This window comes from Homo sapiens, chromosome 8 (genome assembly GCF_000001405.40).
Source record: "Homo sapiens chromosome 8, GRCh38.p14 Primary Assembly".
NCBI lineage: Eukaryota > Metazoa > Chordata > Mammalia > Primates > Hominidae > Homo > Homo sapiens.
The window spans coordinates 97148240-97164107 of record NC_000008.11 but is presented as its reverse complement, the minus strand read 5'-3'; the positions used below and the strand labels follow the sequence as shown (position 1 = coordinate 97164107).

Here is a 15868-nt window from a genome sequence, read left to right as displayed (position 1 = left end):
GCGAGACTCCGTCTCAAAAAAAAAAAAAAAGAAAGAAAAACAAACACAAACCACATAGTCTTCTTCCTGCCAGGCCCAGTTCACATAGATGGTAACATAATAACCTCAGCACATTGGATTTTACACAGAATATTCTAGTAAATGACAATGACACATTTGTGATTTCATGAGCTTTAAATATGTTGGTAAAACAATCAGTTTCTCCTCTTAATTATTTACCTCCATGCTGATAAGTTCAGTTTACCATTTCTTAATAGAATATTTGTACAACTGTTTTGAAAATAATCATGTTTGGTCTTTAGAAAAACTAGCCAAGTCTTCATGTGGAATTTAAAGTTGTATATCAAACAGATCAGTTATGGATTTAAATTTCCCAGAACAGAGGTACCTAGAAGAGAATGTGAACGTGTCTTTGGAAAGATGAACAAACAGAAAGCCTTCCTGACCTTTGGAAGTCAAAGAATAGTCAACAGACTGATTTAGGCAATTTCACTGCTTTGAAGGGTTTCAAAGAAGACCGATTTCTGTTTGTTCAACCACCATCTGGAGGTGCAAAGATCAGGGACATCAAAAGATTTATCTGAGCATTCGAATGTGTTTGTGAAATCACTAATATGTCATGGAGGCGCTTCTCAGAGATCTACTTTGTGGAGGTTTTTATCTATGTTAGTTTGGCAGGTGCCATCTGATCGAGTAGCCCTCCCAGCATGCCAAACACCTTCCAAACACATTCCAGAGAGAAAGAGAACCCAGCCATTTCCTGTGATTGGGAGTCAGAGGCAACTAAAGGGGGTCTATAATGACTTTCTGAGGATGTTTAATTTATCACTACTGTGAGTGAAAGCTTGTGCATGATGCTTATTCCCTACACTTCACAAGTGGCAGCATTAAATCTTCAGAAGGATAAAGAAGTCGTCTTGCAGTAGGAAGCACTCTTTTAATAAAGTTTATCTGAGGTAGTCAGTCCAGAGCTGGTGTGGTATTTCAGAGTATCAGGGACCTACACTTCTTTCTGTTTGTTTCTGCTATGTGTGACTCCCATTCCCAAGTTCACTTCATAGTCTAAATCTGCTGCTGATGCTACAACTTTCTAGCAAGAAGGAAGATGGGGAGGAGGAGAGCACTCCCATTCCTTTAGCTCTTCTTAAGGAAAACTCCTGGAAGTTTTTCATACCACTTCCAGGAATGACCCACGTGGCTACACCTGATTACAAACTGGGGCAGGGGAATATAATATCTTTACTCCAGCTAAAATTTAGGGCCTCTATTACCATAAAAAGGGTAATTTTTTGAAAAACAATAATCTCCCTCTACTTCATCATCCTTGAGGACTCAGCTCAAACGACCCCTATTTAGAGAGACCACCTGCATCTATTCTGTCAATAGTAAGTTTCCCCTACTTACTCTCTACCACAGAACCTGTCCAGCTCCAGCATGGGAATAATCTTGTTTGTTTATTTGATTATTTTTACTTTTTGTGGTCTTTCTTCCCCCACTAGAACAAAGTTCCTTGAGTGCAGGGACCTTATCTACTTTGCTGCTCAACACCATACTCCCAGTGCCTCACAGTGCCTGTACATGGTAGAAACTTAATGAACATTTGGGATGAATGACCAGATTATGAATGAGGACCCTTGCCAGAGAAAACCAATATGGCACTGTGACTAAGTATATAAGCTTGGGAGTTAGACAGTCTTGATTAAAATCTTGGCCCCACCTCTAATTAACAATGTGACCCTGGGCAAGTGACTTAACTTAGGTCTAAGTCTTAACTTACTAATTTATAAAATTGGAGGGGAGACTTTTGCCAGAATTAAAAGAGTTAATACACATGAAGTGCGTACTACTTCATTGTACAGCAAACAGTCAGTGTTAGCTTTTACACATGACCAGCATAATAATTATTTTTGCTATTATTGATATCTATCTCGTGGAAAGATTCAAAGGAGGCTTCCCAGAGAGAGAGACCTTGGAGATGAGTTCCATGGATAGGCAGGAGTAAGCTAGGCAAAGGAAGGGGTAAAGGGACAGCATTATGGGGAGAGGGAACCACATGGCCAAAGGTCTTGGGACAGGAGGGGAAATGTTGGAAAAACTGGTAAAAAGCCAACATGGTCTGAGTTGGCTGAAGAGAGGAGGAGCAGTATAAAGTGAATCTAGAAAGGAAAAGGCTGATATCATGAACTCATCCCAAGTGGGAAGGGGAGCTACCAAAGGGCTCCAAGTAGGGGAGTGCATGGACAGATTTGTAACACATAAACACCATCCTGGCTGCAATGTTGAGGGGGCAGTTATCCCATCAGAATAACTTCTGTAAATGAGAAACGTACTGTAAGAGTGTACTTGCAAACCCAAGCCTGTCCCTCATGTTGGTGGGACTCTGGCAAGGAGAGCATTGAGCTACAGATCAGCCCAAACTGGCTATTTCTGGGATTCTTGACTGTTACAGAGAAACTTTTAAATATACCTAAATATTTAAAAGTTATACATGAAGACTAACAAACTGTTAAACTAAGTACTTTGACAAATACACACTCATAATGACTAAAAGTCAAAAAAATACCAAAGATAGTTGAATTTAATCATTATTGCCCATGTCTGATATTCTATTGATGGGCTAGTAATGTTTGGATGAATAATAAAGACACACATAATTCACAAATTATTACATATGTATTCTATAAAATTTATTTTTCTTGCCTTCTTTTCAGCAAAATCATGAATTGTGGTCTTATAATCCAGAACACAATTATATTCTATGTCATTATAAATTTATAATTATATAGCTGTAGTCTGTTTAAAATAATGCTCTAAAAGATTAAAAAGTATTTGAATTCTAATGTAGAAAATTTTGAATATATTTAATAGAAATATAAATTAAAGTGAGTGTAAACAATTAAAAACATTTTTGTACATTTTTATGCTTTCCAAAAGGTTATTTTTCTTCTAAAATATTCAGAATTATTGAAGCCAGAGAAATTAGTCAAGAAAAAGATATAAAAGGCATCCAGATTGGATAGGAAGAAGTAAAATGATCTCTATTTGCAGATGACATGGGTCTTACATGTAGAAAAGTCTGAAGATTCCATCAAAAAACTGTTAGAACTAATAAACAAATTCAGCAAAGTTGAAGGATTCAAAACCAACATACAAAAAAGCAGTTGCATTTATATATACTAACAGCGAATATCTGAAAAGGAAATCAAGAAAACAATTACATTTACAATAGCATCAAAAAAATACTTAGGGATAAATTAACCAAGGAGGAAAAAGACTACTTATACACTGAAAACTATGAAACATTGATGAAAGAAATTAAAGAAGACACAAATAAATGAGGAATATCCCTTATTCATGGATTGAAGACTTAACAGTAATTAAGATGTTAATGCTACTCAAAGTGAGCTGCAGAGTAATACAATCCCTATCAAAACTGAAGAGAGAAAAATTCATCCTGAAATTCACATGAAATCTCAAGAAACTCCAAACATCCAAAAGAATCTTGAAAAAGAACAGATATCTGACATTTCCTGATTTCAAAACTTCTTACAAAGCCACAGTAATCAAAACAGTATAGTACTGGCATAAAGACATACAGACCAATGGAATAGAATACAGAACCCAGAAATAAGCCCTTGCGTATATGGTCAAATGATTTTTGACAAGGGTATCAAGACCATTCAATGGGGAAAGAACGGTCTTTTCAATAAATGTTATTAGGCAAACTGGATATCCACATGCAAAAGAATGAAGTTGGATCCTAACCTTATGCCATATAGAAAAATTAACTCAAAATGGATCAAAGACCTAATGTAAGAGTTAAAACTATAAAACCCTTAGAAGAAAATATATGGGAAAAGCTTCATGACATTAGATTTGTCAATGATTTCTTAGATATGACATCAAAAGCATGGCCAAAAAAAGAAAAAATAACTTTGACTACACCAAAATTACAAATTTCTGTGAATCAAAGGACACAATCAGCAGAGTAAAAAGGCAACTTATGAAATCAGAGGATGTATTTACAAACCATATCTCTGGTAAGGGGTTAATAGCCAGAATCTGTAAAGAACTCCTACAGCTCAACAACAAAAAACCAAACAACTCAATTAAAAAATGGGCAAAGGACTTGAATAGACATTTCTCCAAAGAAGATATACAACTAGCCAATAAGCACACCTGAAAGATGCTCAGCATCACTAATCATTAGGGAAATGTAAATCAAAACCACAATGAGATACCACTTCACACACCTCACACCCATTAGGATGGCGACTATGAAAAAAAAAAAAACAACAAGAGAAAATGATAAGTGTTGGCTAGGATGTGTAGAAATTAGAAGCTTTGTGCACTATTGGTGGGAGTGTAAAATGGTGAAGCTGCTATGAAAAAGAGTATAAAAGTTCCTGAGAAAATTAACAATAGAATTACCATGTGATCCAGAAATCCTACTTGTGAGTATGTACCCAAAGGAATTGAAAGCAGGGTCTCAAAAAGAAGCTTGTACACCCATATACCAGCATTGTACCAGCATAATAACCAAAAGCTAAAAAGGGAAAGCAACCCAGGTGTCCATCAGTAGATGAATGGATAAGCACAACGTGGTGTATATAGACAAAGGAATATTATTAAGCCTTAAAAAGAAGGAAACTCTGACACATGCTATTACATGGTTGAAACTTGAGGACATTATGCTAAGTGAAATAAGCCAGTTGGAAAAAAGACAAATACTATATGATTCTACTTACAGGAAGTATCTAGAAGAGTCAAATTCATAGAGACAGAAGGTGAAATGGTAGTTGTTAGGAGCTGGGTGGAGTCAGGAATGAGGAGTTATGTTGGAGGAGTAGAATTTCAATTTTGCAAGATGAAAAGAGTTTTAGAGATGGATGGTGGTGATGGCTGCATAACAATGTGAATGTACAATGTGATGTACCACTGAACTGTACAACGAAAATGGTTAAGATAGTAAATTTTGTGTTGCATTAAATTTTATGTAAGCTTTTTAGTTGCAAAAATATAATCATTTGACCACATATGTAAGGGTTTATATCTGGGTTCTTTGTTCTACTCCATTGTTCTATATATCTATGTTTATATCAGTACTATATTGTTTTGATTACTGTAGCTTTGTAACAAAAAGCTTAGACAAATTTAACACAAAATTTTTAACACAATAATTTAAAGTTAGCTATTGAATGAAGGGGAGTTATTAACTATAATTAACACATCAAATTTTTAAATAAAGATATTTAAATAAAGCAATCTTTTTCTACTTGGATTTTAAAATGTTTGCTGAATATTATTAATTTTACAAAGTAAAACTTTGCAATTCCAGTATGAAAATGCCCATCTTGTTGCCAGTGTAAATTATGGATATTGCATTTCAGAAGTGTTATACCTAGACGAACACATCAAATTTATAAGTACAAATTATTTAACATTGCAAATATTAAACAATGCAAAAAGCCACCATGTACAACTATTGCAAATGCCATGCCAACTCACAAGTTCCCTTGGAACCACGAATTGGAGCATAACAAGAATCCAAAGAATAGATGCTCTTCACTTCTGGGAAACAATACTCCCTTATGTGAGAACCTATTGATTTTATGCTCCCTGAGAGGAAAGATTTGACAAGTTGATGAATTTGTCTTTTCTTCTTGAATACTTTTGTTCCTCAAATATTCATGCTCTAAAGCAGTGTCTGTCTTCACAACATTCAGACACAGTCTTCCCTCCAAGGCAGGACCTGAGAACCACCTTTCTTTGGGGCCTAAATGGCATTAGCTTGGAGGTGAACACTTTGAGTCATGCAGAGTCACGCTGTGCCAGCCCTGAGTGTCAGATCCCTGGTGATAGAAGCATCCATATATCCTTCAGTAAATTTACTGTTGGTGTGTTTTTGTGATACATGGGATCCTCTAAAGCACAGGGCTCAGGGCAGGGGTCCCCTCTTTCGTGGGCTGAAGCATGGCACTGTTCAAACCCCACTTTCTATTCCTTAAAATGAAAATGCACCGGTTAGATTGGATATATTCACTCTGGGAACATTAGAAGGCTCACTATTCAGAGAAGTATGTTTGAGGAAGATAAACAGTTTTGAATCATCTAGATTTTAGTCAAATTTGGTCAGTTCTGTGATCTTGGAAAAGTTACTTACAAGCTCTATACCCAGGAATCTTCAACTCTAAAATGGGGATTAAAATAGGACCTACCTCATTGCATTGGGTGAGCATTAACTGAGAAAATGCGCATTAAGTTTTTAGCGGCATGATTGGCCCAGGATAGGTATTACTGATAATGATGATGATGATTTGGATGGCAAGGCAGAATCTCAGAGACAAGCTTAGCTTGGGGAAAATTCATGTTCCATTGCAATCTCTGGGATGGACTGGCTGGTACTTAGAATTAAGATAACTAACTGGACCAGGGCGTGACTTTATTGTCAAAATCTAAGTCACAGCTCAATGTTCTTTAAATCTGGAAAATAAAGCAAGGCTTTCTGAGGTACCATCCAACTCATAGGTAGTTGTGTGGCTGCTTGAGCAGGCCCAGAATAATCACCAATGATATTAAGACCGTCAGGTTCTGTGAAGAACCTGGACACTCTTAGGATATGCTGTAAACATAAGAATATTTATGAGACAAGTTTCAAGGCTACAGGGAGGCTCTCATGCCCAGGGGAAAATGTCTTTGCCTGCAGTTGAATAGTTCAGTCATGGATTGATAGCAAGACTTGATTTGATAAGGGCTGAGTACATCTGTCTAATTTATGCATGGAACTTCATTAGCCATTGCCTTCCACAATTCCTTTGGTTAACTGTGGGTCATCTAAGGGAGACGAAAAAACCCCACACAACTTCAAAGGTAATTTCTTTCTTCTCCAAAAACAGTCTTGGGTTTTCTGGTTTAACAGAGAATTGAGAAGTAAGCATGCATCATTAATTTCTACGCAGAAAACATTCTTCACTTCAAATAGCAATTAGTGATAACATTTCTATCTCTTGTTGTGATGAGCTTTTTATGCTAATCATCACATAGCTGTAAATTAATCATTTGGGCACAGTTAGAGAGGATGTATATTTCATGAGACAGATATAGATATCAAGATCCGTTTGATATTTACTCAACGTAAATGAGAAGCATCTTAAATTATTATGAAAGGAGCATACTGAGCAAATAGGACTGTGTGTGGCAATGTAATGTATGCAGTGTAGATGCATGAGAATTTTTAAGACGCTCTTGGTGTCATTACTGTAATTATTGTGAGGAGGGTGGAACACTCTGGGGAACATAAACTCCAAATTATCCACAGACACAGCAGAACCCTCAAAACCACATCTTAACAATGTCAAGGGCAAAATCAGCAATCGACCTCCTTTCCCTCTAGCTTCCTCCTTTTTTTTCAGTGACAGATTTCACCCTTTTCACATGATACAATATTTAAATGGGTTTCTCTTCTCAATTTGCTCTTAAGTCTACTCAGCTAAATGAATCAGAAAAGCAACTTGACCCTAAAGTCAAATTGGAAGGTGGCTGCATGCATAGAAAATAGGCCACCACACAAATGATATACCATTTCTCAGCAGATAAACAGTTCTTTTTAAATTTATGGAAAACAAGAGAATCGTACTTAAAAATGCCTATAGCGATAGTTACTCAATAGCTTGTGCCAGGCTGCAAGATTGCCTGGTACACCCTAGCAATTATGATGTGCAGGTAGAGTTTTCATGAGAGGAAAATAATTCTACAGACCACTCTTGTATTAGGCTTTTTGCTTTGCTACAAAGGAATACCTAAGACTGGGTAATTCATAAAGAAAAGAGGTTTAATTGGCTCATGGTTCTGCAGACTGTACAAGAAGCATGGCGCTAGAATCTGCTTCTGATGAGGACCTCAGGAAGCTTATAATCATGGTGGAAGGGGAAAGGGGAGCAGATGTCTCACATGGCAAGTGTAGGAGCAAGAGAGAGATGGGATAAGTGCCACACACCTTTAAACAACCAGATATTGTGGAAACTCACTATTGTGAGGATAGCACCAAGCCATTCATGAGGGATCTGCTCTCATGACCCGAATACCTCATGCCAGGCCCCACTTCCAGCATTGGGGATTACATCTCAACATGAGGTCTGGAGGGGACAAACATCCAAACTATATCATCTTTCTTCCACCCTCTCTTGTTCTAACTCCCACATACTTCTTCATACCTCCCCTACTCTTATTGCTATCGATAACCACACTCATCAGCACACTCCCCTACCTGCACACAGTCACATTGTCGCCCCTACCCAGACCCTCCGTACTCCTCTAATAAGGCAGCAGTAAAGGGGCCCAGCTAGAAAATGGGCCGTTTATGTTATCATTTGGCCCCATATAATTTTTTGTTGTTGTTGTTGCTAAGCAAACAGACAATTTTACGGAGAGAATGAATAAGATCCATTTCTTCAGAGCCACTTGTAGGATAAGGCAATGGGGGTACAATCCCTAACCCTATGCCAAAGGTGGAGGTGGAGAAAGGGTCTAGTTCCCTGGAGGAACTAGAATGGTACAGTGACTCAGGAGGCAGTGGGGGAGGAAATGACGATCTTGCCAGCAGCTGGTGGAACTTTGAGACTATAATACAACTTTGTGAGTTTCTCTCTTCTAAAGTTGCTCTGAAACCTAAAATTCTGGAGTGACTGGGGTAGGTGGTGGTAGCAGTGAGTGGAGAATACAGAATTTAACTTACTCTGGGCTCCACCATCTATGGGGATAATCTAAGATGTTGCTCAGAGCTGATAAGCAGAAAGCACAGCAGCCCCAAGTCAAAGGGAGGTGGAGCTCATTGGTGTGGCAGTGTTCCTATAAGAAGTTACTCTTTGCTATTACTGAAGGAAAGGGAAGAAATTTAGTCCAATAGGACATAAATGTCCATCTTAGAAAGCAAAAAGGAGGCAATCAGTCAGCCTGTGAATTTTTAATGCTAATTATAAAACTGGATATAACTTTTCTAGAAAATAACTCTGAAATCCAATAATGATGACTAGATAAACTACAGATTATCCTTGAACTGTGGTAATTCATAGATACCAAGAACATCCAAGTACTACCAAATAGAAGTAGTTACTGTGAACACCCTTAGCTTATTTCTTACCTTAAAAGAAATGTTTTCAGCATTTCATGTTAATTATTGTATTTCTTTAGTTTTTTTTGTAGATGCTTTTTATCTGGTTAAGGATGTCGTCTTTAATTTTTACCATAAATGGATTTTAGGTTTTATGTGACTCTTTTTCTTCATCTACAGATGATTGGATAATTTTGCCCTTTTAAATTTGTTAATGTGATGGATTAAATTAACTGATATTCTAATGATAAACCAATCTTGCATATTTGAGCAGACTTTGGACAGTTCAGAAAATTTATGTGAATCTACATACACAGATTGGAATCAAGTTGTGAAAAAAATGAATCAAAATGCATTAAATGTAAAAGGAATATAAGTATATTCGTCAGACAAAAATTAGTGGTCTGACACCCACTTCCAACCAAGTAGGAGTAACAGGGACCAGACTTACCTTTATGCATGAAACAATTAAAAAATCCGAATACAATGTATTAAATAACAGTGTTCAAGACACCAGACACCAGGAAATGAGGAGCAATGATGCCCAACAGGCAGAAAACGAATGAGGTGAGCACTATGATGGCCCTAGCTTACTTCCTTAATAGAGTTTCCAGTTACACTGTGGGGAAGGGAAACCCAGGCAGAGCCCAGGAACCACCATGAGTTGAAAAGAGGAATGTGAATGTCCAGAGAGGCTGAGGCAGCTAGAATTCACAGGACACAGTGTCACGGAGGATAGTTCCACACACAGAGAGAAGGCCAGGGAGCTGCAGAGGGTCCCACCTTCCCACAACTTCAGGTGAGTACTGATCAGTTCATGCATTTGCGGAAATGATCAGAAACTGGGGAACGAACAATCTGGAAGGAATATAGAAAATAATACTAGGAACTCCTGTTCCTTCAGTCATAGAGAAAAAACATCATAATCTATAGAGCATCAAGAGTACTTAGAAGGGTTGAGCTTTAGTAGTGGGGCAAAATTAGCCCTAGACTAAATGTTGCTCTAGTTTCACCTCATTGAGCTTGGTTAAAGAATCAGGACATGCTACATATCTAAATCCCGCATGAACCTGAGAGTGACTGACTGTCTTTTGGATTGAGCTGAAAGACACCATCTTGTATGCTACATGACCAATATTAATCACTCAAAATATTTCCTTGTGTCATCAAGGGCCACTGTGATAGAAATTATTACTCATGTGGGTTACTGAGTGGTGTCTCCAATACAAATCTCCATTTCTGACCACTTGTTTCCTTTCGTGAAGATAGGATATGAATGATACCACCTAAAGCACAATTGTGATAATGACCTCCCTCTTTGGTAGTTTCCATATTTCCTTCCTAAGAGTTTCTTCTCTCTTAAGACAATTCCAGGACTTTCCTGGAAAGGCACTCAGGCTAGCTCTCTCTTGACAGGGCTTCTTGATGGAAATTTTCATTTTGTCTCCACCATTACTTCAAAAAAGGGAAGGAAGGAGGAATGGAACTGAGAAATGAATTTGCTGTAAAATAGAAGCAGCTAACATTCCTCAATCAGGGGACACATATTGTGGACCTACTATGTACTGGGCACTGTTCTTGGTGCCCTTAAATTAGGGAAACAACCACTTGTTTTCCAACTGTTCTTAACAAAAGACTGCAGAGGAGGTATGAGGTAGCAGTCCAATTTAAACGTTTACTTATAGATAACTGTTGTAACATTTATTGAAAAGTCCACCTTTTTTTTACAGATCATCTATACCAACCTGTCATAAATCAAGTTTTTGCATATGTGGTTCTGGATCTGAACTCTAGTCTGTCCCATTGGACTACTCACTTATCGTTTTGCTAATGCTATGCCATCTTAAAGACAATAAGTTAAGTCTTGACATCTGGCAAGACAAGATAAAAAATCAGAATAGGCTACATTATGTTGTGGCAACAAAACCTCCACAAAATTATTAGTGGCTTAACACAACAGAAATTTATTTCTTAGTCATGCTTCACATCCATTGTGAATAAACTGGAAGCTCTGTCATTCCTTCTTATCACTCTGGATCCAAGCTTGTGGAGCAGGCATTATCTGAAACATTGCCATTTGCCTTGGAGAAAGAGACAGTATGGCAAACCATACAGGGAATTTTACAATTTCCACTCAGAGGTGTATGATCTCTTTGAAACATGAGTTTTAGTTGCTTAATATTTGGGCTTTGCTCTTTTTCTGTAAGTCCTGTGTAGAAGCTCTTCTCATTGAACACCCAACAGTTAAGTCCAAAACAAAACACCTGCTGATTTTTGCTTATATTCATTTGCCAAAAGTACATAGTAATACCAAATTACAAGAAATCAGGAAAGTACAATCTTGCCTTGAAGGAAAGTGGAATAAGGGGCTATGATCCCCTACTTTTATTGTTTTTTTTTCAGAAATAGTTGGCTGTTATTAGCCCTTAGTAGTCCAATTACACTTTAGATTCAGCTTGACACATTAAATAAACAAACCAACAAACCAAAATCAAGAACTCAAAGCCAAAACACTCCATTGTAAAATTTTGATAGAGATTGTATTGACTCCATAGATAAATCTGGGGAAAATGAACATCTTTGCTATGGAGTCTTCCAAAACATGAATGTCATATTTCTCTAACTATTTAGCTCTACTTTAATATATTTTAATAAAGTTTGATAATTTTTATCCATAAAACAATCTCTCATCATAAAATTTTTTTCTAGACTCTTTACATTATTATTATTTTTAGAGACAGGGTCTTCCTATGTTGCAGAGGCTGGCCTCGAACTCTTAGACTCAAGTGATTCTCCTGCCTCATCCCTCCCTAGTAGCTGGAACTACAGGAATGTTGGTGTGTGCCAATGAACACAGCTAACATTTTATATTATTTGATGCAAACGTAAATGATATCTTTTTAGTTGCGTTTTCTAAGTATTTGTCTAGAAATATTTTTCATTTTTTAAAATTTCTTTTCTTGAGCAAACTTCTTAAGCCCCATTTTTAATTATGATACTTTTTTGGTAGATTCTTTTGAATTTTCAATGTAGGCAATCATATTTGTCTACAAGTAGAAACAGTTTTCTTTCTTCCTTTCCATTGCTTATACATTTTCTCCCGTCTGTGGAAGCTAGAATATCCAAGTACTACCAAATAGAAGTAGTTACTGTGAACACCCTTAGTTTATTTCTTACCTTAAAAGAAATATTTTCAGCATTTCATGTTAATTATGATATTTCTTTAGCTTTTTTTGTAGACGCTTTTTATCTGGGTAAGAATGTCTTCTTTAATTTTTACCATAAATGGATTCCAGGTTTTATGTGACTCTTTTTCTGCATCTAGAGATGATTGGATAACTTTTCTCTTTTAAATTTGTTAATGTGATGAATTAAATTAACTGATATTCTAATGATAAACCAATCTTGCATATCTGGCAGAAACTCAACTTTGTCATCATTTATTCTCTTTTTCTTTCACTAATAGATGCAGTTTGTTAATATTTTGTTCAATTTTTTCATTTATAATCATGAGTGAAGTTGGCTTGTGATTTTTCCAAACGGTCCTTAATTAGATTTTGGTGTTAAGATTGTACTAGTCTCATAAAATGAGCTTAGAATTAATTAGTCCTTCTTCTATACTGTAAAATAATTTTGTAAAATTGAAATTATTTATTTAAAGTTTGGGAGAACTTACTTATAAAACTAAAGAATTTATGTGGTGGGGGGTACATTTTAAACTAGTGATTCAATTTATTTAATGTTTCTAGAGCTATTAAAATATGAAGTTTATTCATCAACTCATTTAAGTAATCACATTTTTTTCTAAACATTGGTGCATTTATTCAAGATTCCAAATTATTGGCATAAAGCTTTTAATCAGTAATTTTCAGTATTTTCAAAGAGCCAAATCTTTGGCTTTGTTGATCCTTTCTACTGAAGGCTTGTGATCTATTTCACACACTTCTACTCATATTTATTGTTTATGCCTTAATTCTTTATTTGGGTTTATTCTGCTATTTCTTAATTGGAGGAAAAAAAGTATAGCAGAATAAACCAAATAATTAGGGAATAAACAATAATCCCTAATTCTTTCTTTGGGTTTATTAGCTTATTTTAAAATTTTTATCATTTTGAACTGTAACTTTGCCTCTAAGAAACTGCCTACCTGCATCCTACAAGTTTTGATATGAAAGTGTTGTCTGTGTGTGAGCTGTTATTCAGTTGTACATATGTTTTAATTTTAATTATAATTCTTTCTGTAACTCCGTATTAGTCTGTTCTCACACTGCAAATAAACACATACCCAAGATTGGGTAATTCATAAAAGAGGTTTAATTGACTCACAGTTTCACATGGCTGGGAAGGCCTCACAATCATGGCTGAAGGCGAATGAGGAGCAAAGAGTCATGTCTTGCGTGGCGGCAGGCGAGAGAGCTTGTGTAAGGGAACTCCCCTTTATAAAACCATCAGATGAGACTTATTCACTATCATGAGAACAGCATGGGAAAGACCTTCCCCCATGATTCAATTACCTCCCACTGGGTCCCTCCCATGACATGTGGGAATTATGGAAGCTACAATTCAAGATGAGATTGGGTGAGCACACAGCCAAACCATATCAGACTCATAAACTACTAAATAATTTCTTTATTTACTAAGTCATTTATTTATTTCAATGAGTCATGTTTCTAATTTTTCAAACTTATATATGTTTTTAGTTGATTAGTGGCATTGTGGTCACAGAATATGATATCAAATTTGTTAAGCCTTTTTTTCTCATTCCATTTGGTGGGGGAGGTTGTTTTGTTGTTACACACTTTACCTCTCTTTTTTGTGGTTACCTGAGAAAATTTAACTTTCTTTTTTTTCTTTTTTTTTGAGATGGAGTCTCCCACTGTCGCCCAGGCTGGAGTGCAGTGGCATGATCTCAGCTCACTGCAACCTCTACCTCCTGGGTTCAAATGATTGCGTGCTTCAGCCTCCCAAGTAGCTGGGACTACAGGTGCACACCACCATGCCTGACTAATTTTTGTGTGTGTATTTTTAGTAGAGACAGGGTTTGGCCATGTTGGCCAGGCTGGTCTTAAAAACTCCTGACCTCAAGCGATCCGCCCACCTCAGCCTCCTAAAGTACTGGGATTACAGGCATGAGCCAAGGCGCCTGGCCAGAAAATTTAACTTTCATATTTAACTTAGCAAAGCCTAAAGTTAGACAATATCTTTATCCTGTTCTAGAGCAATACAAATGAACTCACAGAAAAAGGCTATCTGGAACCCACAGAAGGGGCCAACTAGGTCAGGAGAAGGAAGGGGATGTTGGTCGCACTTAGAATACTCACCAGACCAGTTTAAAGATGACTTCCAGAAACTATTTCTACATGACAGTTAGGCCCAGGCACGATGGGTCAACAGTGCCTCACTGGCAGGACAGCTGCAGAGGGACATCAGCAGAGACCCTCAGTTCTGGAGAAATAAGTGGCCGTCAGAGCTCACCTCCAGGTCAGTCGGACCTGTGGGGAACCAATGAACTGCAAGCAGGCACCCACAAGGGTGGATCCCATATGAGCTCCTAAATTTATTCTTTCTGCCCACTGCACAGACAAAATCAATTGCCTGAGACCATGGCATTGCAGTAAAGAAAGAGTTTAACTGACATGAGGCCAGCTATGCAGAAGAACTGGAGTTATCACTCAAATCAGTCTCCCTGAAGGGTCAGAGGTTAGGGTTTTTATGGACAGTTTTGTGGGCAGGGGACTAGGGAATGGGTGCAGCTGATTGGTTGGGAATGCCATCACATCACTGGAAGACTGTCCTTGTGCAGTGAGGCCACCTGTGGGCAGAGCCACAGGACCAGCTGAGTCATGAGTCCAGATGGGATCAGTCTGAAAAACATCTAAAAAAAAAAAAACTCCCCAGTCTTAGGTTCTACAACAGTGATACCTATAGAAGCAATTGGGGAAGTTATAAATCTTGGGACCTCTGGCCACATGACTCCTGAGCAGTAAGAAATTATAGAAACTATGCCTACATTTTAGCAGAACTTGGGCCTCTCCCATAATCCTAATCTTGTGGCCTTTCATTAGTCTTACAAAGGCAGTTTCAGCCATTGAACAGGGAGAGGGTTAGTTTCAGGGAGGGACTATTATCATTCTTGCTTCTAAGTTAAACTGTAAACTAAATTCCTCTCAAAGTTATCTTGGCCTATGTCCAGGAATGACCAAGGACAGCTTGGGGTTAGAAGTAAGATGGAGTCAACTAGGTCAGATTTTTCTTACTGTTATAATTTTGCAAAGGCAGTTTCAAAAGGACCTTAGAACACTAATTCCAGTAACTTCACGTCTTATTCACATGCTATTCCAGTGAAATATATTCTTTCCATCTTGTTTTCTTTTCAAATACCACCTTATTATTGTGGTTTTTATTTATTCTATGTTTGTTTAAAACGGTTATCACTTTCTTTGCTCTTAATTTCTGTCCAGTGGCCAGGATTAGGTGGTCAGTCAGAACAATAAGCCAAACTGAAAGTTAACAATCAAGCCTTAATCACTTACAGAAATAGTGTAAACAAGAGGCAAAAATAAGCACCAGCTTCCTAACATTCCATTTTTTCCCCAGGGAATGGCAGTAGGCAAGGGTCAGATGAATCAGCTCAGACAGGGAAAATCATCTCACTACCAAAGAGCCCTGAACAAATGACTCCTGACATTTTATGGTCCAGGGGACTGACAGAAGGGAGTAGGGGAAGTCTAGGACTAGAAAAGTACTGGGTCAGAGTGG

General features: G+C 37.4%; 2 long non-coding RNA genes across 2 annotated transcripts in view; one reads left to right on the top strand and one right to left on the bottom strand.

Annotated features, from left to right (window-relative positions):
• Window positions 1-13609, bottom strand: part of LOC105375655 (uncharacterized) — a 34037-nt gene extending 20428 nt beyond the window's left edge. The window contains exon 1 of the long non-coding RNA XR_928434.3: window positions 13436-13609. This is a non-coding gene — a long non-coding RNA (uncharacterized LOC105375655). The remainder of the gene's footprint in view (window positions 1-13435) is intronic.
• The window catches only part of LOC101927066 (uncharacterized), a 494634-nt gene that overhangs the window by 282390 nt on the left and 196376 nt on the right, over window positions 1-15868 (top strand). The gene's annotated exons all lie outside the window — the stretch shown is intronic.